At 40.7% G+C, this 22,207-nt stretch overlaps 1 protein-coding gene and 1 pseudogene across 2 annotated transcripts in view, besides 5 other annotated features; one reads left to right on the forward strand and one right to left on the reverse strand.

The window, feature by feature from the left end:
• The window catches only part of ITGB1 (integrin subunit beta 1), a 57,913-nt gene extending 43,189 nt beyond the window's left edge, over positions 1–14,724 (reverse strand). The window contains exon 1 of one of the 2 annotated variants that reach the window (NM_002211.4): positions 14,639–14,724. The gene's annotated coding sequence lies outside the window, so the exon portion shown is untranslated. Of the gene's footprint in view, positions 1–14,252; positions 14,456–14,638 lie in introns of those variants that run through there. The other variant, NM_133376.3, reaches the window with a different exon arrangement.
• AK3P5 (AK3 pseudogene 5) lies at positions 776–1,695 on the forward strand (annotated as a pseudogene).
• Positions 13,422–13,583: a silencer, noted in NCBI's record as "fragment chr10:33245856-33246017 (GRCh37/hg19 assembly coordinates)". NCBI's record gives its function as "represses an EF-1alpha promoter that drives an FKBP-Casp9 reporter gene in an ReSE screen in HepG2 liver carcinoma cells {active_cell/tissue: HepG2}" and the evidence as "EXISTENCE:reporter gene assay evidence [ECO:0000049][PMID:32094911]".
• Positions 13,977–14,426: a silencer, noted in NCBI's record as "silent region_2290". NCBI's record gives its function as "represses an Ori minimal core promoter by ATAC-STARR-seq in GM12878 lymphoblastoid cells {active_cell/tissue: GM12878}" and the evidence as "EXISTENCE:reporter gene assay evidence [ECO:0000049][PMID:35858748]".
• Positions 14,497–15,076: a silencer, noted in NCBI's record as "silent region_2291". NCBI's record gives its function as "represses an Ori minimal core promoter by ATAC-STARR-seq in GM12878 lymphoblastoid cells {active_cell/tissue: GM12878}" and the evidence as "EXISTENCE:reporter gene assay evidence [ECO:0000049][PMID:35858748]".
• Positions 15,247–15,296: an enhancer, noted in NCBI's record as "active region_3250". NCBI's record gives its function as "activates an Ori minimal core promoter by ATAC-STARR-seq in GM12878 lymphoblastoid cells {active_cell/tissue: GM12878}" and the evidence as "EXISTENCE:reporter gene assay evidence [ECO:0000049][PMID:35858748]".
• Positions 20,200–21,010: an enhancer, noted in NCBI's record as "H3K27ac hESC enhancer chr10:33252634-33253444 (GRCh37/hg19 assembly coordinates)". NCBI's record gives its function as "activates a minimal SCP1, AML or CMV promoter by ChIP-STARR-seq in naive H9 embryonic stem cells {active_cell/tissue: H9 hESC(naive)}" and the evidence as "EXISTENCE:reporter gene assay evidence [ECO:0000049][PMID:30033119]".

A 22,207-nucleotide genomic window follows, 5' to 3' on the forward strand; every position in this document is an offset into this window, starting at 1 on the left:
CAGTGCTACCAAAAAGTTAACAAGAGGAAAAAGTCAAAAGACCAGACATCACAACAGGGAGGTGAGAGGAGAGGGGACCACGGAAACAAGGAAGTGAAAAGAGCTGGAACCTACGACAGTTAAGAATTTACAATTTCAGAGACAGGCAGTCTTGGGGGAAAAGGCCTGTATTAAAAATACAGTACCAGGTCATTGTTTTAGCTAGGGTTCTGTCCAAAGCAGAGCCTGGGAACAGAACTGGTGTGCAGGCAGTTTATTGGAAGGTGACCCCAGGAAAAGAGAGAGACACTTTGAAGACAGTGAACCAAGAAAAAGAGAAAAAGCCAATACAAAGATACTATCTTTACCATACTGAGTACCTGGGGGCTTGATCTTGTGGAAAACTTTTGAGAAGTACGTAGAAAGTCTGTCCAGTGAAAGTCAACGGGGAAATGGATCAACTCCAGTTGCATAGGTAAAAAGTCGCCTCAAAGGGCATTAACTCCACTAACACTTCTAAGAACTACAGTGCACGTGCCCAGGGACAGACAAGAGGGAACAGACAAGAAAGTTGGTTAGAGGAGCCGCAGGGGAAAAAGCAAAAGAGAGGCACCTGAGGCAGCATGCAGTCAGCCAGGAGTGAGCCACCGACTGTTCCCAGCAGCACCAGCTGGAATCAGAGGCCAAGAGGATGTGAGAAAGACACACGAGGTTTCCAGTACAGTGACCAATGGCCACTAAAGTTGAGAGACAAGAAAACTGCTAGACCAGAGTTCAGGGAAGGCCTGGGAGCCACAGTCCCCGCCCACTAGCAGCGCTGCCAGCTGGCTGGGCCTGGGCGGCAGAGAAGGTAAGTTCACAGGCTGGGCCAAAGCCCTTGTTCGGGTGCGGCGTGGGCCTTGGTCTGTAAAGGGGCGTCTACGCGGCAGCAGCCGTGATCATGGGGGCCCTGGGCTAGGCAACAGCACTAGTTGTCGCGCGTCACCAAACACTGTGAAGCACCTCTCTAGCGGAGACCTGCTCCAGGATCAACATGCTGCGGGGCACAGAAATTAATGTGTTAGCTAACGCTTTCATTGACCAAAGGAAACTCATCCGAGATGATGTCATGACTCAGCTGGCCCTATATGAGCTGAAAAATCTCACTTAGTATAGCTAGCTGTTGGGTGGTTTTCCATGGACACTTCCACAGGCAGAAGCCCTAGACTAAGCTTCTTAGACAGACAAAGTGATTAGCCCGAATGTGCCCTTTGAGGTCATTAAACAATGCCTTACTGCTCGCTAGATTCATCCTGCCAGTGGCTGAGTCTACAACATTGAATTCAACCCTCCCAAAACTGTGGGCACTGATGATCTGACTGGGGATCCTCTCATTCAGCATGAGGATGATAAACCAGAGACGGTTATCAAAAGACTAAAGGCTTATGAAGCCCAAACAAAGCCAGTCCTGGAATATTACCAAGCTTTTCTACAAACTAAAGTTCCACAAAGAAGCCAGAAAGCTGCCATTACTCCATGAGGAGAAATGTGTGTAACTAGTAAGATGAGCAAACCTCCTATTCCTTGAATTTAAAAACTGCTTTTCCTAAGACCTCCAGCATGTATGAATTCTTTGAAAGTTATATTACTTTTATTTCTACTGATTTTATTCTGGATACTGAGGATGTGCCAAACGAGTCAGATACTAAGATTAATCTTTTGAAATCATCTAGTGTGTTTTATCCAGTCACCTGCAAAACCATCAGAGATGTCTTAACTTTTAAAACACGTTAGAGCAAAATTAAATGAACAATTGGTAGTAATCTAACTTTTTGTTCATTAAGTGGTTGATAGGCTGGGTGCAGTGGCTCATGCCTGTAATCCCAGCACTTTGGGAGGCCGAGATGGTGCATCACGAGGTCAGGAGATCGAGACCATCCTGGCTAACATGGTGAAACCCCGTCTCTACTAAAAACACAAAAAAATTAGCCGGGCGTGGTGGCAGGCGCCTGTAGTCCCAGCTACTCGGGAGGCTGAGGCAGGAGAATGGCGTGAACCTGGGAGGTGGAGCTTGCAGTGAGCTGAGATCACGCCACTGCACTCCAGCCTGGGCGACAGACCGAGACTCTGTCTCAAAAAAAAAAGATTAAGTGATTGATAAAATGTCCATATTTTTTGGAAAAGTTTTAAAAAGTTACATGTCATTTGGGGAAAGTATCTCATCAGAAATTTTTGCAGATTAATGCCACATTTCTAGCATTGTGGAGCATGGTGATACTACATAAAATTCCAGAAAAAAAAGCAACTGGATTCACAGATTTGTTGTAAGATACAAATTCACTGCTGCCTTTACACTAATAAATATATAAGCTAACCATATATGCTGTATTTATTTTGTTGTTAAACATACTTTCAATTTACTCAGAATTTTCAATTTGCTATAAAAATGTATCAATTAACATACAGAAAAATATTACTTTAAGATGACTCTTCTTTTGAAAATACATATGTATTGAGGGTTATAATTTTTGTCAGAAATTGACATTATAAGTTCTTGGATAAGCACCAAAGTTGAATGAATTTTCAACAAAATATAATTGAAATCTATGTTTTCAGATGTTACTCGGGTTAAGAAATGTGTTTTAGGATCTACTTGCCAGTTTCTCTTTTTGATCCAAATATATGATCTGCCCTGATAAATAACAAGTTATTATACCCCTCCTCCCAAAAATAAAAGAGAAAACCTATGGAATTATGTAAAGTAAGCATACTTTGTCATTAGTAAATAGATCAGGCATGCCTGCGGAATGTTCCCTTGGCATAAATAGCAATCAATCATGATTCGTAAACAAGGTGTGCCAATAAAAAGAATTCACAGGATAGGTTAACAAAGACCAAAAAAGTGAGTTTTCTGAAGGAGTTCTTTGTTCCTGATCAAAGAAATTGATACCTGCTAGCATTCACTGCCACCTTATCTTAAGGGGAAAGAATTCTACTGGTTTCATCTGAGCAGCCATTTAAATACTGGAATCTAAAGTGATTCCTCAGTGGGGCAACAAGGATGGCTGCTGATGTACTGTGACCTGGTAGGAGAAGTGGGGCATATGAGAGAAGGAGGAAAAACCTGACCATCTTCCACAGCATATTTACTCTTACTTTACTTGGTGCTAAAGCAAATGAAACAAGGCCTTGTATAAGCTGTTATTAATTGCCTTTAAAAATCTGTCCTGTTTTTCTCCAGGTACTTAAAACACAAGTGCCAATAAGTGGTTTGTATGTATTTCTGGGGGGGGGGGGGGGATTATTTTCCTTTTCTGCAGGTATTTCAAAAATTCATCAGTCTTTCAAGATGAACCAAGGTTTTTTAAAAGAATTATAGTAAAGACTTCTTTTTTTTTTTTAGACAGTTTCACTTGATCACCCAGGCTGGAGTGCAGTGGCATGATCTTGGCTCACTGCAACCTCCGCCTCCTGGGTTCAAGCAATTCTCCTGCCTCAGCCTCTGAGTAGCTGGGATTACAGGCATGTGCCACCACGGCTGGCTAATTTTTGTATTTTAGTAGAGACAGGGTTTTGCTATGTTGGCCAGGCTGGTCTCAAACTCCTGACCTCCAGCAATCCACCCACCTCTGCCTCCCAAAGTGGTGGGATTACAGTCATGAGGCACCATACCTGGCCTACTTCATTCTTTATAAAACTTTCTATAATGCCTCACTTGAATGTTAATATTATGTGCTTTGTAAAAATGTTGTGAACTCCCAAACTTATAGATTATCACTAGGTTATGAGGCATACATTAGTCTTTATCTGAATAAACTGAAATTTCATTAAATAAAAAAAAAAGAAAGAAAGAAAACTGCTAGACCAAGGTGTGAGAAGTATCATCTGCATGAACTCTTGAAGCCCTCGAATTATGGCAAGAACTGGGGAGGAAAGAAAGACTAAAGCCAGGTGATTCACATATAGCCGTGTGTGTGTGTGTGTGTGTGTGTGTGTGTGTGTGTACGTACATACACACAGTATGTTAAAACATATATAATAATCTTCATTTAAAAGGTTTCCTGTTTGGGGCATATGTAGCTCTTATACATCTACTAATGATGTACATGGTTGACTTGCCTTATAAATTGTCATCTTCTAGAAGTTTCTCCATGTTTTCTGTATCTAGCGCAATGTCTTTATATTGAATAAATGAAGAAACTAACGATAAAAACAACTGGAGATACTCTGAGGTATCAAAAAATAAAACACTGAGCTTCATGACAGCAGATATTTGTGGCATCTACCGTTGTACAACATTGTGTAGTGCAGAGTTACACTGGCAAATTAATCTGTCTCAGTTTCCTCATCTTTAAAATGGGGACAGCAGTATTTACCTTGTAGGGGTTTTGTGAAGTTTAAATAAGTTGATACACATAAAACATTTAAAACAATGTCTGGCCAATTGTAAGTACCTGGGTGTTACTTGTTATGATCATTACCAAATGTTACAGGAAGCGCTCAATAACAACGTAATTGAATAAAGAAGTAACTATGGTTGAATTTTTTTTTTTTTTCAATTGTAATTATAACCAGAAAACTGACTGGATCCACTTTAGGGAAGACACAAGATATGAAAGAAAGGATAAAGTCTGAAAGTTAGAAGTAACACAACTACAGAAAATAGATTAATGTGGATTGTTATAGCTGTTCATACACTGACATCCTCAATATCAAAACCTTATTATACTCTTTATAGATTCCACATCCAAGTAGAATTCTATTTAATGTGCTTTCTAACAATCAGATTCCTGACAAATGTGTTCATAAAGTAATAAAAGCAGCAAAACCTTAAATATTTTATACTGACAAAATATTTAAGGTAGTAAATGTTAGACAAAATACAAATGCTCTGAACACTAATATCATAAAAACATAGTAGACAAAATACAAATGCTCTGAACACTGATATCACAGAAACCCTTAAAAAAAGATTGAGGGGAGGGAATAACATACCTAATACAAACAGAAATAAGGAGGAAGCTTTGAGGTTTGCTATGCTTTGAACGTGTCCCCAAGGTTCACGTGTTGGAAACTTAATCCCCAAAGCAACAGTGATGAGAGGTGGGACTTTTAAGAGGTGATAAGGTCATGAGGGCTCTGCCCACATGAATGGATTAATGCTATTACCACAGGAGTGGAGAATGGGTTCCAGATAAAAGACGGAGTTTGGCCTCCTTCTCTTCTCTCACTCTCTTGCCCTTCCACCTTCTACCATGGGATGATGCAACAGAAAGACATTAGATGCCAACCCCTTGATAATGGACTTCCCAGCCCCCAGAACCCTGACATAAATTACCCAGTCTGTGGCATTCTGTTATAGCAGCACAAAGACTAAGACAAGGTTCTTACATCACAAGGAAGCAAACCCCCCTGAAAGGACTAGAATACCAATTCTGTGTTTTATTAATCAAACCCAACTAGCAATATGATTTCGTTCAGGGACTGCTGCTCACTGTGGATTACTGAAAAAAAAAAAAAGACTGACTTCTCAATTGAGAGGGCCAGACTAGGCACAGGCAAGAAGAAGAGTATAATACACTAAGTTTTGATGATTTAAAGTAATTTGTAACAAAAAGTTATTTCATTTAGAACTTTAAAAAATTAGAATTTTATTTCAGCACCTTCAAATGGATATGATAATAATAATGATAAAATAATAGCATCTATCTCCTCCAGGTAACTCAATGAGGTGAAGAATAATAGTGTCTTTGTTTTACAGATGAGGAAACAAAACCAGAGAGACTAAACAACTTGCAATGGTGGAATCAAAAGTTGCACAGGTGGAATTGAAACCTGACCATCTGTATCCAGAAGCTATGACCTGACTTCATTAAACTGTAATTTTTTCAAAGCCTACTTAATCACTATTTTAAAACAAAGAACATCCTTCTAGTGTTAGAACTGACTCAGGGCACAGAAATGGAAAGGGCTTATAATGTTCTATGAGTTTATTTCTTGGGCATTTGAACTTAATAGAGGCCAAGAAAAGTTATTTTAATTGCCATATTTCATAAGTACAGACAAAGGTTTTGTGTCTTGTTCCTATAAAAGCATTTCACCTTAAGGTCATTTTTTACCATATGAAATTTTATCTAAGGGGTCATAATTCATTCCCTGAACAATAAACAATCTTAAACACCACCCACAAATAATCTCATTTTAGTGGTTAACCCAAATATGTGCAATTGTTTCCACTGTCAAAAATAGTGCATAATTGTTTTAATCTTCACTGTAAACTAATCTTTATCCATAAAAGTATGGTTTTATATCATGTTCAAACTTTTAAATACACACTCATTATTTATTAATTTTTTTAAACAATTTTACAAATAATTCATTTGGCATTTCCTTTTAAATTTACAATCTTTAGAAACTTTATATGGACTATCTTTGTAGAAATTAAACAACTACACTTTAGAAAAAAATTGTAACATATGTAACATATGTAACATGTTATGTTCATTTCAGAGTTGAAAAATAAGCCACCTAAAAGCCAACTCAAATAAAAAGAATACACAAAAGATTTCACAAAATCTCAAATCTTTTCACCTTAATAGTAGAAAAGATTCTGATACCTATAGAGGTATATCATAAATGTCTCCTAAAAATTATAATAAACTTGGATTCATCCCAAGTCTGTTCTACCATCATTATTTTCTGTATCTGCTTTTAAAAGGGGAAGAAATAGGCCAATAACAGATTTTAGTATTTAAAAATCAATATATTCCAGAAGAAGAACACAGAGCCAAATTGAAAGACATGAGGTTCCTCCCACTTATCCCACATAGAGAGTAATAAAAACGAGAAAAACATGAATGGAAGAAACTGAGAAATCTTTCTGAATTCTGTACCATCTGAGAGGGTGACATGTGGAGATGAGTTCCTCCCATGGAAAGGGAACCTTTCCCCTTACAGGAAGAACAATTAAAACTCAACACTTTTTTTCCTTCCATCTGGCAGGAAGAGGTGTGTTGGTCACTACAGAGGTGTTTATGGCCCAAATATTAATAAGCTAGCATTAATGATTAACAAAACTTCGCAGAAAGAATAGAGAAGAAAAAAAAGGAGACATGAAAGAGAAGAGGCTAAGGGATCCCAAAGATGTAACACCACATTTGAAGTCCTCTTCTCCTCTCCTTGACAAACAGAAAAGTAGTCTGAATTAGAAAACCATCTAAAATTCACCACTCCCACCCAGAAGAAAAATGGCTTTTTAAAGAGCACTAACCCCTTCTCACACAATGATAATGATAGCCTGGGCTAAGAAGCTCTAACAACAAAGGTTTGGCTGCTCCAAAGCTATAGGTTCACAAAACAATTTGAAATCTGAGAACAGCTCACAACACGGCGAGATACTTTAAGAAAATTATACAACAGATTGAAGATAAAATTCATCACTAGTGACTCTACCCGCCTTCTCCAGGAAAATGAAATATGGAAGATTTTTATCACCACCCAATCTACAAGTGCAAGGGAAAGATAAATAATGGATATAGTACGCATTGGCAAACAAAATGCCTAAAGATAATACGTTGGGGGTAGGGGGAGGTAAAGCCTGGAAACTTAACACCTAGGAAAGACTTCCACAGAACAAAAAGTGAAAGGAAGTCAGTGAAGAATCTTCTTTAAAAATAAGAGAAAATCTAGATCTCATTCTGCTCTTCAAGAAAGTCAGAAAATCTCAAATAGATCTTGACAGTGATCAAAGAGCAAAACCACAAAAGTCGAGGAAAAGTAAACAGAACTAAGGAAGAAAATTTAGGCTGGAATCCTCTACAGAACTCATAGACACCAAGAACAGAATCAACATAACAGGAAAATCACACAAAATTCAAATAATTCAAGCCAATGAGAAACGTTGTCTAATGGTGATCTCATAAACAGACAACTGGTACAGCACCACCACCACCACCAGCCCCTCCCTGTCCTGAAAAAAAAATAGCTTTATGTGAGAAACGGGAAAAAAATGAAGCATTTAATTCAAATGGGGGTAAAGGGGCACAAAATTAACTCAAGACTTCAGAGGATGAACGTAAAAGCAGAAAAATACACTATAAACAAAGCTATTAAGCCATAATATGAAGGGCTGATCCAAAATGAGCAAAAAACCTGCCCGAACTTAATTCTTCCCAGCTCCTCCTTCCACTCAAAAGGTAAGACATTATTACCTAGCAATTGATTGTTTTTCAAACCAGCCTAGTATGCTGTTCCTTCTTTCCACTCTCTATGCCTGCGGACTTTTTTGCCTTTCCCTGTGAGGAGGAAAGAAGTTGGGAACGGTTTTGGTTGAGAAAGTTTACTTTGGGGCAAGTTGTCAAAGATAATTGTGAGTGGAGCCAGCAAAAGAACCAGCATGATCAACGGTATCAATAAGCACCTGAGAGCAAGACTTATTCCCCGTAATTTCAATTAAGGAGAATTATCTTCTCAAACTGCGTAATTATATCCACTTTTTAAGCAGATCATTCCAAAATGCTTCCTTGATTAAAACTAATTTTGACCACATCTTTTGTCACATCTTCCTCTCCATCCTGTCTGTGGTGGAGTGCATACAGTATTTTAAATACATGATAAATGTTTTAAAACCATGATAAACATAGGAAAAAAAGTTTCTCATTTTACACATCAGTAAGCTGTAAACAGTATCTAATTGTTGGAAAGATAAAATATGATCATTATATGAAAGCTCTTATCAGCAAATATATTTCTAGGTGGTCAGCAGCTCATAATTTACATGATTACCAAATTTGCTTCTTGTTCTCCAACTCATTAATCATGGCCTTCTAAAACAAGAACCTCAGTGACTCTTTAATAAATGTTTCTCAATCTTTTTAATCCATGCTTCTTTAATAAGCATAAATCTTACTCCCTATTGTACTTTTTTGTAACATTTTTCTAACATAACATTATACTACCAAATGTGCTTTTTCAAACTCCAATTTCCTCCTCCAATAAACATGACCCTGTACCACCCCTTTAAAAGAAGCACTGAAATCATAATATGAAGAAAATCATACATAAACCATAAAATATTGTACATGGAGAAGAATAATCTATTGCTAATTTCATAGATTACGAAAGCTTAAGTTATTTACATATTCATTCAATAAACATTTATACAGAAAAATGTGACTTCCATACTCCAAATGGTACATACCTAATTTCGTATGTAAATATTTTCCTCATCACTCCACTGAAACTATACTCCCTACACAAAATAGAATGCTGATTTTTCTTCTTCCTTTCTGTCTTTATTGCCTCTTCATCTCCTCACCAACCACAATCAACTTAATTAACTACTCCTTCTCTGTGGTTCCAAAACAGCTTTGATAGTGCCCAGCAGAGTGAATGACAAATCTTCAGTGATGCTTAATAATATAGTGTTATTTCTATTCAAACTTCTATTGTAACTAATTGTATTCATGTCTGTGTCTCTCATCAGGCTAGTATTGGAGGGCAAGAACCCAGGCCTTCATTTTATATAGCCTTCACATATCCTTCTGATATATATGATATTATACATAACTCCTAATAGGTAACAAAGTGGCCAGGTACTATCTGTGAAATTAGATTGGATTCTTCCCATGCTGTCCTTGAATGTGACAACCATCTGTCATCCAACCTTCGCTCATACCATTCCAAGCTCAGGCCTCATCTCCTACACAACGTGTTCCAAAACCACACAAGCCAATGCTGAGATTTTTCTAACATTGTTAGGGAATATTACATGGTACAGTATTTTATGGTACAGTACATTGTATAAAACACTCTTTGGTATTTATGTTTTCCTGAACTGAACACAACTTGTTCCAATTAGACAACAGACTCAACATCAAAGAGCATGCCAACTTCTTGATTCATGTCCACTGAGTAAAGCATTTTTCAGGTAACTGGTACTCAATGTACTGATAGAATAAAATGTAATGTACAGCCAAGCTACATCCTGATGCAGAGCTGACAGGGACAGATGTTGCTGGTCAGCGCTGGCAGGTATCCTTAACAGAGTAAGTGGCACAGTGCCTACACTCTCTGGTGATACAAAAAAAAAAAAAGTTGCTCATGGAGAGAGAACTGCACTCTACTTACATCAGGCAGCAGCTATCCTCCAACTCCTCGAACGAGAGAATGAGAGAAACATGCAGGCTGCTTTATAGGGTAGATGTGGAAACCAACGCTCTGGAAGTACAGTACTCTGACAAAGGTCACACAGAAATTCAGTGGCAGACCCGGCACTGACACCCAGGTTTCCTGTCTCCCAATCGAGAAGCCTTTAGTACATCAAACTGCTTCTCTGATCAGGTATCTGAAAATAAATTACCACAAAGAAATGTGACCAATGAAGTCTTTCTGTCTTTAACTCAAACATGCCAATCACTGGAAAAACCCAGAAATACCTATGTCACTCACAAAAATGCCACTCAAAGGAATTAGAAGTTCAGAGAAGAAACTGGGGAAGGTAAATGCTTTTCTAGATTCCTCTTCCTCCACCCCCCCTTGACTATTAAAAGTGTTCCCAGGTCCTCCTTCAGCCCGTTTTTCACTCCACACCCTCCTTTGGTGTTTGCATGCACAGCCTATAGCTTCAACCAGCAATAGACTAAGAATTGTCAAATTGAAATCTCTCAGAGTTTTTTCTTTTTTTAAGCTCTCAATCTGTGTATTCAACTGCAATTTAGACATCTCCACCTATGTCCCATGGTCACCTTAAAAAAAAAAACTTGGCCTCATAAGGTCATCATTTCCCCTCTGCTCCAGCCAACCAGCACCCCCAGCTTGTGGTCACCCTCTCACCTCAGTGAACAGCACCTCCTAGCCAGAAACCAGTGTCACACTGGGTTTCTTTTATTTCTCTTATCAAGTCTTATCAGTTCTCCCTCCCAAATACAGTAGTTCTTGAACCCCACTCAAATCATCCTCCATATAGGGATCTGCAAAGCTTTCTGACCACTCACCTTTATCAGCAAAAAAATTCTAGGCATACCTGTACCCAAAATAAATGCAATTTATAAATTCAGATACATGTACTTCTACAGCAATATAGTAAGATTATCAATCATAATCAAAATTTTAAATTTTAAAGTGATGAGATCAACAAACATAATAGTAGACCTAAAATTTTCTCCCTATACTTCAGTGAGTCTTTTTATGCATCCCTGGAGATAGGAACCTGTGCTTTGAAATTATGTACAATGAGATTGGTCCTATAAGAAATACATACATATATGTGCTTGTGTGTATGTGTGTATATACATATGTATGTGTACTGGAGGCAGCTTTTCTCATGCACACACACGTTTCATGAGGTGATATGCACACGCTTAAGCATATTGCTAAATATAGTTAACTCTACCTTCTAAAGTCACAAACCAAACGGCAAGTTTAAAGTTAGCTGACCTCTAAAAACTCACAGCCACTTTTAAAACAATAACAAATGTACAAAGTATAGTTTGGATCCTTTTGTACACAGCTCCTGAAAGAGAGAAACTTTTTTTTTCACCTACCGACAGACATATTGGAAGGCTGCTAATATTCTGACTTTTACGGACTGTACCCCCTTTAAGCTGGGTACATACCATAATATCTTTTCAGTTTTCCACAGCTATAGATACCTCTAGCATAACACTTCAGGATTCAGAAGACGAATGTACCTTTCTGTATCTTAACGTCTCTACTCCATACCTCCCACCTCTGAAAAAATAACCAGCCAAACTCTCAGAACCTAAAACCAAGTCAGAGTAAACACTGCTAATACAATACAGGTACTTACATATTTACCCGGCATAATCTCCAGGATTCCACCCACAACCTAACAGATCCTAACTCTCTGGCAGAGTGAGAAAATCTGCTAATATCTAACAGAAGTCTAAATGAACCCTTTCAGATACATGCAGCTTGTTACATATTCAGAAAGTTAAGTTCTCTGAAACTTTTACCAGTTACAAGATGTTTCAGCTTATCACACTAGCAGCATAGTTAAGGGCAAACCAGAGCAGCTACAGAATATTAATGAATATGTTTTCAGACAGAACACTATACTACTCACCGCTGTAAGCCATAACTTACTTATCAAGAAGCCAAACAATAAAAGCATTACAATCAGTGGCAAGCACGCTTAGGAAAACTGGCACCATGTTAAGTTGTTTGACCACTTTTCATTATTATAATATGACCAGATGTCCCCAGTGTCACTCCCAGAGTTAGGAAGAACACCAATGTAGAGCTACATTTTCATTCGTGATGGTAATTCGGGGCTGATTTAAATTAAATTATACTGACCAGAAAGCTGCCTAATTGTTAAAATTACTAAATCCAGTGACTTTCAGAATTGCTGATTCCATGCTTCTCATGTGCAGAATGTTGAGGGTATTAAAAAATAACTTTAATATAGAACTTTACATTAAGAAAATCACAAACACTTAAAATTGTAGGTTTAGGTCTGAAGTCAACACAGACGAGTTAAACAATCTATTTGCTTCCTGTTTACAGAATTAAAGTATTAACCACATTCTTTGTCCTTTTAACTAGCATTCTAATAACATCTTCCACCTTCATACTCAATTTTGGGATAAGTAAAATGACTTTCTCCCCAAATGCCTGTAATGAAAATACCAATGTTTTTTATTTAACACTTCACCATCTTCAGTCACTTATATAATATTGATCAATGAGTCAACATTATTTAAAAATATGAGAATTATAGTGAGACTCTAAGTCCTAACCCCTCTGGGCCTTGATGTCCACAAATGAACAGGTAACTGCCAACTGAAGTTCCTTAATCATTTCTAAAATTGGTCTACTGTATAACCTATCGTAAAGGACGTATGTGGTTTAAGAAAGGTGTCTAATCTAAATTCCTCTAGCATGTTATTTTTGTAGCATTAAAACTACAATTAAAAAAAAAAAAATAAAAAAACCTAAGGGCCAGGTTCAGGGGCTCACGCCTGTAATCCCAGCACTTTGGGAGCTCGGTGAGAGAGGACAGCTTGAGCCCAGGAGTTTGAGGCCAGCCTGGGCAGCATAGTGAAATCCTGTCTCTACAAAAAATAAAAAAATTAGCCGGGCACGGTGGCAGGCGCCTGTAGTCCCAGCTACTCAAGAGGCTGAGGTGGAAAAGTAACTTAAGCCTCGGAGGTTGAGGCTGCAGTGAGCTGTGATGGCTCTTCTGCACTCCAGCCTGGGCAACAGAGACCCTGTCTCAAAACAAAACGAAATAACCTAGTAATTCTACCCACCTAAGTTAACCATGTGGCATGTTGGCCCAAAGAAACCTTACCAATGATGTTACCAATTATCTTCCGAGATATTTTTAACATCTTTTTACTATAAAAGAAGGGCTGAAAAGGAGTCAATACTCATTGAGCATCTACTCTCAAGCTAAGTTTTTTACATTTTGCATTTGATTTTCAGAACTATAGTTAGGAAGGTTACTTGTGGTTTAAACGCGGACTCTGGAACTAGACCCCATGCCTTCTCCAGGAGCTCCTGATGACCACAGGCAACTTACTTTTGCTCCCTGTGCCTCAGTTTCTTCACTCGGAAAATGGGAATCGAAACAGTACCAATCTCATTAGAGCGGTTCCAGAATTAAATAATACATGTAAAATGCCTAGAGCTAAACTTGGCCCTCACTGTCATTATTATAAAAATGAATTATTAATGTAGATATTACTGTTCCTATTTCACAGATGAGGAAACGGAAGCTTAGAGAATGCAACTTACTAATGATCATACCAATGAGTGCAAAGTTTTGGACTCAAAAGCACGAATTTGATTAAATAAAAGTTACTTAGAGAGTAGGAGTCTCATAAATCCAATTTATGAAGCCTAAGAAATGACACGCGGTAAAATGATACTAGACACAGGCCGGGCTCTCAGGCTCGCGGACCGGGTCTGAGCACAAGCTGGCCATGGCCATGCGTCCTGGTCCCGGGGTGCCCGGCAGGGACCGGCGACTCTTGACGTTTATAAACACGGGGAAGTGGACTGCACTGCCGCCACCGCACCCCCGGTCCCCAGCGGCTCCACTAAGCCAACTTCTACCCGGCTCCCGCCGCCCCCGCCCGCGGCGCTGGCCCCAGGGCCGCCTCCTGGCAGCCGGAGGAGACCAGTCCCCGTCGCGGGCGCCGACGGCTGGCTCGACGCTGCTCCAAGGACAGCAGCTCGCGAGGGAGCGAGAGACAAAGGCACCGGACCCGTCCAGGGGAGCGCCGAGTCCCAAACGCCGAGCCCCGGGTGGCCTCGCTGGCTCCCACCTGCGCTTGCCCAGCCCGGCGGGAGACCGCAGGTGTCAGGGGCCGTTCGGGCCCGGTCCCCCGCAGCTCCGGCAGCCCCGACGTGACAGCGCCCAGGCCGGCGACCCTCACGTTCGGAACGCGGCTGGGCTGGCTCTGCGCCCGGGGGCTGCCAGCGCCGGGGACCCGAGGCGGGTGGCGGCGTGCGGACTTCCTCCTGGACTAGCCTGGAATCCTGCCCCAGCCCCCAACCGCTGGCGGCCGCCCCCGCCCCCGCCCCCGCCCCCACCCCCACGCCCGGCACAAAGGTCCCGGCGCGGCCCGGCCGGCGGCTTTAAGTGCTGCCGCGCACAGGAGACCGGAGGCCGCGGCCCGCGCTCCCACACCCGAGGCCCGCCGGCCCCTACCTTTTCCGCGCGGCGTCCGGGGCCCGGCGCGGTGGGCTCGGGCCTGCTGTTCCGCGACTCCCGCTGGGCCTCTCCCGCGGGCTGGCGGGGCCTCCCGGGTGTCGGGCGCGGCGGGTGGCGGCGGCTCCTCCTCCTCAGGGGCGGGAGGAGGGGACTCGGCGGCCCAGAGCCGCCCCCCGGCAGGAAACCAGCCGCGGCCCCGCCTCCTCTGCGCGTCTGATCCCGCTCCCGAGGCCGCCGCCGCCCTCTCCCTCCGGAAACGCATTCCTCTCCCGCCGCGTCAGCCCGGCCCGGGGCTAGGAGGAGGCGGAGGATGGGGCAGGAAGTGCGACCGGGACAAAGGAACCGGCTGCGCGGGAGCGCGCCTGAGGGAGGCCGCGGGGGGCAGGGCCGGGACTGCGTTGAGACAGTCGCCGTGCCTCAGTTTCCTCCTCTGCGAAGGGCGGGAGGAGTCGGACGCGCCCTAGAGCCCCGCGCGTTCCTGGTGTAGCCTGCTGGGCCCGTGTTCTTTAAGTTCCTCTTCCTCGGAGCCGCGCGTTCGACCCTCGCTCCCGTTTGTCCACTGATGTCCCGTTTCGAGCCCGGGAGATCCTGCATCTCGGAAGCCCCCTGAGTCCCGAGGCAAATCGGGACCGTGAGCCCCCCTACCCTGCAGGGCTCCATGGGGCCAAAAACCACGTGGTCCTTCTGGAAGGGAACTGGCTAAGCCAGGACTGCTTTTCTGGAGTGATAATGTGCTTGCCTGTGTCTAAGAGAAAGGTGAAGAATTGGGAAACCCATGGGTGTCACGAAGGGTGGTGAGACTGGGGAACGTTTTAGAAAACCTGGTGAGTTGCGTCCTGCTTTTGATAGATTTATCTGGAGGTACCTTTATGGGGAACAGGGATGAGAAGGAAAAGTTTCTTCCTAAGGAGTACAGTTTCTGTTTCACCTCTTAAAAAAAAAAAATTTGGAGATTGGGGCTGGAAACAACGTTTGAAAGAGAAGGAAACATTCATTATGAGAATGGCTGAACGCATGTCGATTCGATGATTGAAGTCTGTACCAGCCAAAATCATACTGAAACCCAGTAATTTAGTATATGCTACTGGCAAGCTGCTATCCTGGTAGCAGAAAATGCTGTGGGTTCCGCTTGGTGAGCTGCAGCACCCTGTTGGGAAAAGAGCTCAAAAATTACCAGATTTATGAAATAGAAGTGTTTCTCTTGCAGGAGATTAGGGACTGGAATGCCCATTTGGCTGCTGCCAATCAATATAAGAGAAAATGAAGCGATCACATCTAAGAAAATTTGCTCATTACTTACCAGCAAAATCAAAACTTGATTAGCCAATCTGAAGACCTCTAGGAAATGAGCACTATTTTTCCCACTTAATGGATGTTCAAGCTTAAGAGGCTAAATGATGTTCCTATATTAATATCTCAATGGTCAAACTGCCATTAGAACTCAACATTCTTGAATTTTAAAGGTATCGGTTTTACCATTGTTCAGAATTCATCAGAATTGGCCCAGTCTCAGCACAGAAAACTGTATAGTTCAAAAGCATAATTGGTCCGTGCCTGATTTGCACTACAATTTCCAGAATTTTTTTCCCTGTACGTGACTGGTGGAGGCACTAGCTAGTCTTTGCTACAAGAACATTATGAGATTTACATATGCACAACTCTAAACTAAATTAGTTCCTCCAGGACAATTTACTGAGCTTTTTAACACCACCGTCAAGCACTGTTGCAAGGACAGATAATAGGGGCTCAGATAATATCTGATAAATGAATAAATGGGTCCTTTTGCTCTCCCAGGACTGGGCTAGAGCACTTGACTAAACTGATGTGTGAGGTAGCAATTTGTGTACAGAAGTCATGAGTTTTGAGGAAAAAGAAATTAAAGAAACATGTTCTCTAAAAACTGCAGTCATTGGTCAAGAATACGAGTCTACTTGTGATTTCATACAAATAATGGGTGGACAGTGAGCTATGAAATTTATGAATACTCTAAGCAAAGGTTGGTCAGCATACGTGCTAAACAGGAAATCCTGATAAGTAGGAATAGTGCAAGCCACACTGCAACTTTTATCATATTAGGTTGGTGCAAGGTCTACCAGATGTGTCTTGCCTTCCCATGTGTAAGGTCAACCAGATAGCTCTCACCTTTCCATGTCTAAGGTCAACCAGGGGGTGCTTGCCTTCCCGTGTCTAAGGTCGACCAGATGGCTGTGTGCACCAACCTAATAGAACATCATAAGTATCTTGAGTTCAAGATAAATCCATACCTTACCTACACTGTCTCCCAATTATTATCAATTGTCTTCTGCCATCTCTTAAGTCATTATTATGTCAAATAATTAAAGTCGGTGTTTCCTTTAGTTTTGTCACTGGTGATACTACTACTTGCTCTTCAAAATGTATCTTTATTCATCTAACATTTTGCAAAGTAAAGTTTCAAAGTTGTTCAGCAAGAAAGACATTATTGGATGCCCAGGTTTGTATTAGTTTGACTTATATTATTATTAATTAGCACCCCTTTTAACTCTCAAAAGTATGTCCTAGTATAGATGATAATTTATATGATCACTCTATAAATAAGAGTGTCCAGATAATAAGGAATAAGAAGAATAATTTTAGAAATTCAAAGGGGATTCATAAGGATATATTGCAAATCAGGTTCCAGGTTTATAGGTGAAGACTAATTTCAACATTGGTGATAATAAGGGGAAAATGAGTTGCAGCGTGGGGGTGAGTATGAAGAATTAGGCAGTTGCTATGTGATGAAAATGCCCTACTAGGAGATTTTATTAAGAAAAAAATCTTATTTTTTTTCTTAATAACAGTACCCTGGCTGATAAATGGGACTTGGATTTTAAATACCATTGGATAATAAATGTATGTGATGGCTTTGGAGCAAATTGATTGACAATGGCTAGGTAAGACTTCAGCCACTTTTCTAAGGACTGTTTCTATAGACTAACCTAGATATATTTTTCTCATCCGTCACTTCCAGTTACTTTGAATGTAACTCCTTCTGTAAACATTAAAAAAGAAAAAGATGAAGGGATAGGGATGGAAGGAATAGAGGTCTCTGATAACATCCTATAATACTAACATAGAAGTGCTTCTGAATCATAAATAACTCCATTCCTTTCCCTGAGAAACTAAAATCACTGTTTTAAAATGTGAATCTGCTACTCAGGAGGCTGAGGCGGGAGAAGTGCTGGAGACCAGGAGTTCGAGACCAGACTGAACAACGTAGTGAGACCACCCCCGCCCCCGACCCCCAGCCCCAACTAAAAAATAAGGACTAAAATTAGCCAGGTGTGGTGGTGCATGTGTGTAGTCCCAGCTGCTCAGGAGGCTGAGGCAGGAGGATCACTTGAGCCCAGGAGCTATGATCATGCCACCATAGTCCAGCCTGGGCAACACAGTGAGACCCATCTCTAAAAATGTGAATCTGTGTGTATTGGTGTAAAGCAACCCTGGGAATTATTGACATTTTGAAAAACAAGAAGGGGTGAGACAGTCCTGCCAGTTCCTCCTTTTTCAGTCTCCATATGTATAAATAACATGCAAATAGTCATATAACGCAGAGAAACTGGAAGTGTATTGAATTTGCAACTTTTTTTTTTTTTTTTTTTTTTTTTTTTTTTGCTTGAGGGCTTCCATTTAGTGAGCACTCCTCAGTACTCACAGCAGAGTATTGCCAGAGGAACTGTAAAAAATTAAGTTTGCTATCAGGCAACCAGCAATTGACTAGGTATGGCATGTATCAGTGTATCCACCAGGCGGTACTGAGGCTTCATTTCTTTGCTTATTTGAAAATAAGGTGGAAAATGGCACAACAGCCTGACCTGATTTGCAATGTGTCCCTTAGAGCTTAGGCTAGCCATTCAGTCTTTTCCTTTTCTAGGTAACTAACAGTGGCTGGACTATGGCTTTGAATATGGGTCACAGATGAGTAAGCCTTCCTCAACTGGTTCTGCTTCCTGTTTTCCATATATAGGGGCCCCATTTTTTCCTTTTCAAGTCCACACAGCATTGCCTCCAATGGGTGTGAGCATTCCTTACCAGCATTCAGATGCTGAACATTTTTAACAGCCTACGGGAAACAGTGTTTTAGGCAGCTCTTTTCAAACACTGAGTTTCTTCAGCTGTGGAAGAGAATGTCCTTCCCAAATAAGAATTAAAAAAAATGCCCAATATAAGCAATTGAATAGCACTGGAGTTATTTTTAGGAACCAGGGTCACTCACTACAGGAAATGATCGTGTTGCCAATGCGTTAAAGCTAGTGACTTTAAAAAATATTATTTATTTTCTCATTTAACTGCATCTCGAGGAAAGTTAGCAGTTGCAATTTTAAGTTAGGAACTTCTCAATTTCAGGCCAGATTCATTAGGGAGTAGGAAGGATACCTTTCACTTAAAAAAAGGCATTTGGGCTAAGTAAGAACACCTCCCCTGCAACTCCCTCCCGCCCTCCCGCACAACACTCAAATTAATCCCCACAACATATTATCTTAGGCAGAGTTCTTGCCTCATGCCTATGAATGGGATGTCATGAAACCCCTAAAATTCTAGACAGAATTTTACTTACACATATATATCTGCATTGTTGTGGTTTGAATGAGATCTTAACCACAAAACATTAAGAATAACTATTTTAAGCACTTACACGATTAGTTCTTTTATAGACTACCTGCCTAAACAAATGTCATTGTGGTTGCCTTGGAACTGTGAGTCGTATATTGATTAGTTTAATCAAAAACAATATTTAAAACATCAGATAGTGCTTCCAAATATTTTCTTATGACATGATTTTCACTGCATGTTATTTAACCTGCAAGAGGTAGAACAGAAAAAGCAGAATCTTTCGTGATCAAACCGCACAACTAAAGAGTGTGCTGTTTATGTCTACTTTTCAAGGTAAGATAAACTTCAAAGAGAAATGAACTTTTAATTTCAAATTCCAATTTACATATTAGGACTTAAATGACTTCAAATCATATCTAAAAATCACCATAACCAAACCATTGTAAATTTTTACTTACATTGAGAATAAAAATAAATAAATGTTAAGTATATTTCCTAATAATATTTGCCATGCAGCATTTGGAAGAACAAGTCCTGTGACGCTTCTACTTTAAGATTTCTGCATTGTTGTTGGCTGATGTCATAGACTGTTCCTCTATGATCACAAGAATTCCCTATTTAGAACTGCATATGGGTGCCCGTTGGGTAACGTTTCAAGTTGAAAGAATTTTGCATTTTGTGTTATTGTACTAGAATGAAATAATCTTAATCTGAAAAGTTTTGATGGTTAAACTCTTTAATATTTTTGTATTCCTGACTATTTTCTTCATTTAGCTAAGTTTACACTGAAGTCCTTAATTACCCTTCTCCTTTTATGATAAAAATAACATCCTTCATTATCTATAATTTTCCAGTGGCTTCCACATGCCAAAAACGTCAACTACACAATTTTTCTCTTATAGTCAGAACACTGGCTTGTGGAAATGAAGCACTTCATTCGAAATTTCACCAGTAAATGTTGTTGATGTGTGATCTCTAGCTTACAGAATAGATGGAACTGCATTCTTACATTTAAACAATTATCCTCTGATTAAATAAATTCAAATACATCTAAGGAATAGAATAATTATCAGTTTTAAATAAAAATTAGTTAGACAAGTTTAACAAGATGCCCAATGCGTTGCAGTACATAATCCTTTTTGTGAAGTTTTTTTTTTTTTTTTTTTAAAGACGAATTCTTGCTCTTGTCATCCAGGCTGGAGTGTAATGGCGCGATCTTGGCTCACTCTGCCTCCCAGATTCAAACGATTCTCCTGCCTCGGCCTCCCGAACAGCTGGGATTACAGGCGCCCACCACCATGCCTGGCTTTTTTTCGTATTTTTAGTAGAGATGGGTTTTTGCCATGTTGGCCAGGCTGGTCAACAAAGTAATTTTGATAGTATCCACATTTGACCGGGCGCAGTGGCTCACGCTTGTAATTCCAGCACTTTGGGAGGCTGAGGCGGATGGATCACCTGAGGTCAGGAGTTTGAGACCAGCCTGGTCAACATGGTGAAACCCTGTCTCTACTAAAAATACAAAAAATTAGTTGGCCGTGGTGACTCGTGCCAGTAGTCCCAGCTACTTAGGAGGGTGAGGCACAAGAATCGCTTGAACCTGGGAGGCGGAGGTTGCAGTGAGACAACATTGTGCCACTGCACTCCAGCCTGAGTGACACAGTGAGACTCCGTCTCAAAAAAAAAAAAAAAAAAGTTACCCACATTTTATAAGCAAGGCAACTGAGACAACAGATGTTAAATTGCATAACTGTTAAGTTACAGAACCAAGATTGGAACCCTGTCAGTCTGGCTCCAGAGTCTGGAATTTATTCTCTCCACTTTACTGTCTCTGATCTCTTGTATAATTTTGCAGAGACAGTGTCTGCCCTGTTCTAGCTCCATTGTGACTAGGCAAGCAAGTCTGTAATTCTGGTGTTTCAAGAATAAGAAGTCAAACCAGGCACAGTGGCTTGTGCCTGTAATCCCAGCTACTAGGGAGGCCGAGATGGGGGGATCACTTTAGCCCAGGAGTTCAAGGCTGTGATGCATCCCTGCACTTCAGTCTGGGTGACAGAATAAGATCCTATCTCTAAAGAGAAAGATTGTTTTTATTATTTTTTATTTTTTTGAGATAGAGTCTTGCTCTGTCACCCAGGCTGGAGTGCAGTGGCATGATCTCAGCTCACTGCAACCTCCACCTCCCGGGTTCAAGCGATTCTCTCACCTCAGCCGCCCGAGTAGCTGGGACTACAAGCGCCCACCACCATGCCCAGCTAATTTTTGTATTTTTAGTAGAAATGAGGTTTCATCATGTTGGCCAGGCTGGTCTCGAACTCCTGACCTCAAGTGATCTGCCCACCTTGGCCTCCGAAAGTGCTGGGATTACGGGAATAAGCCACCGTGCCTGGCCAAAAAGTTGTTTTTAAAGAATGAGAAGTCAATCTGTCTGCATATGTGAGCCATGATCTCCAATATCAATATTTTCAATAGTAATAAAGTGTTTTCATCTCTGTGTTACTCCTTGTCTGTCTCTTAATTGACACAGAACTGGGTGGTGTGGGAGTGCTATTAGGCCCCCTTGATCGCTCAACAACTATATGTACATACGTGGAAAGGATGATATGACATTTTCAGAGTTATATGTCATTACAAACAGGCATGGCTAAGATTTTTCAATTGTCATTCCAAAATTTGTCAACTACCTATTTTTTGTCAGAGACCTTAAAAATTCTATCTTTCCTAAGGGCAATGGCCATATCTTACGTGTTTGTATGCCTAACACAGTGCTTTGTGTATACAATTATGTTGTTCTTCTTTGCACTTAAAATAAAATCACCACCCCTCTTCTTCTTTGACCTCATCTAAAAACATCTCCTCCTTGCCTACTATATTTTAATCACACTGACCTTCTTTCTATTCCATAACCTCATTAAATTTATTCCTATGTTGGAGTTTCTGTCCTTGCCATTTCCCCTGTCTTAAATGCACTTTACATGACTACTTCTTGTCAGT

The sequence above is a fragment of the Homo sapiens genome, chromosome 10, assembly GCF_000001405.40.
Source record: "Homo sapiens chromosome 10, GRCh38.p14 Primary Assembly".
NCBI lineage: Eukaryota > Metazoa > Chordata > Mammalia > Primates > Hominidae > Homo > Homo sapiens.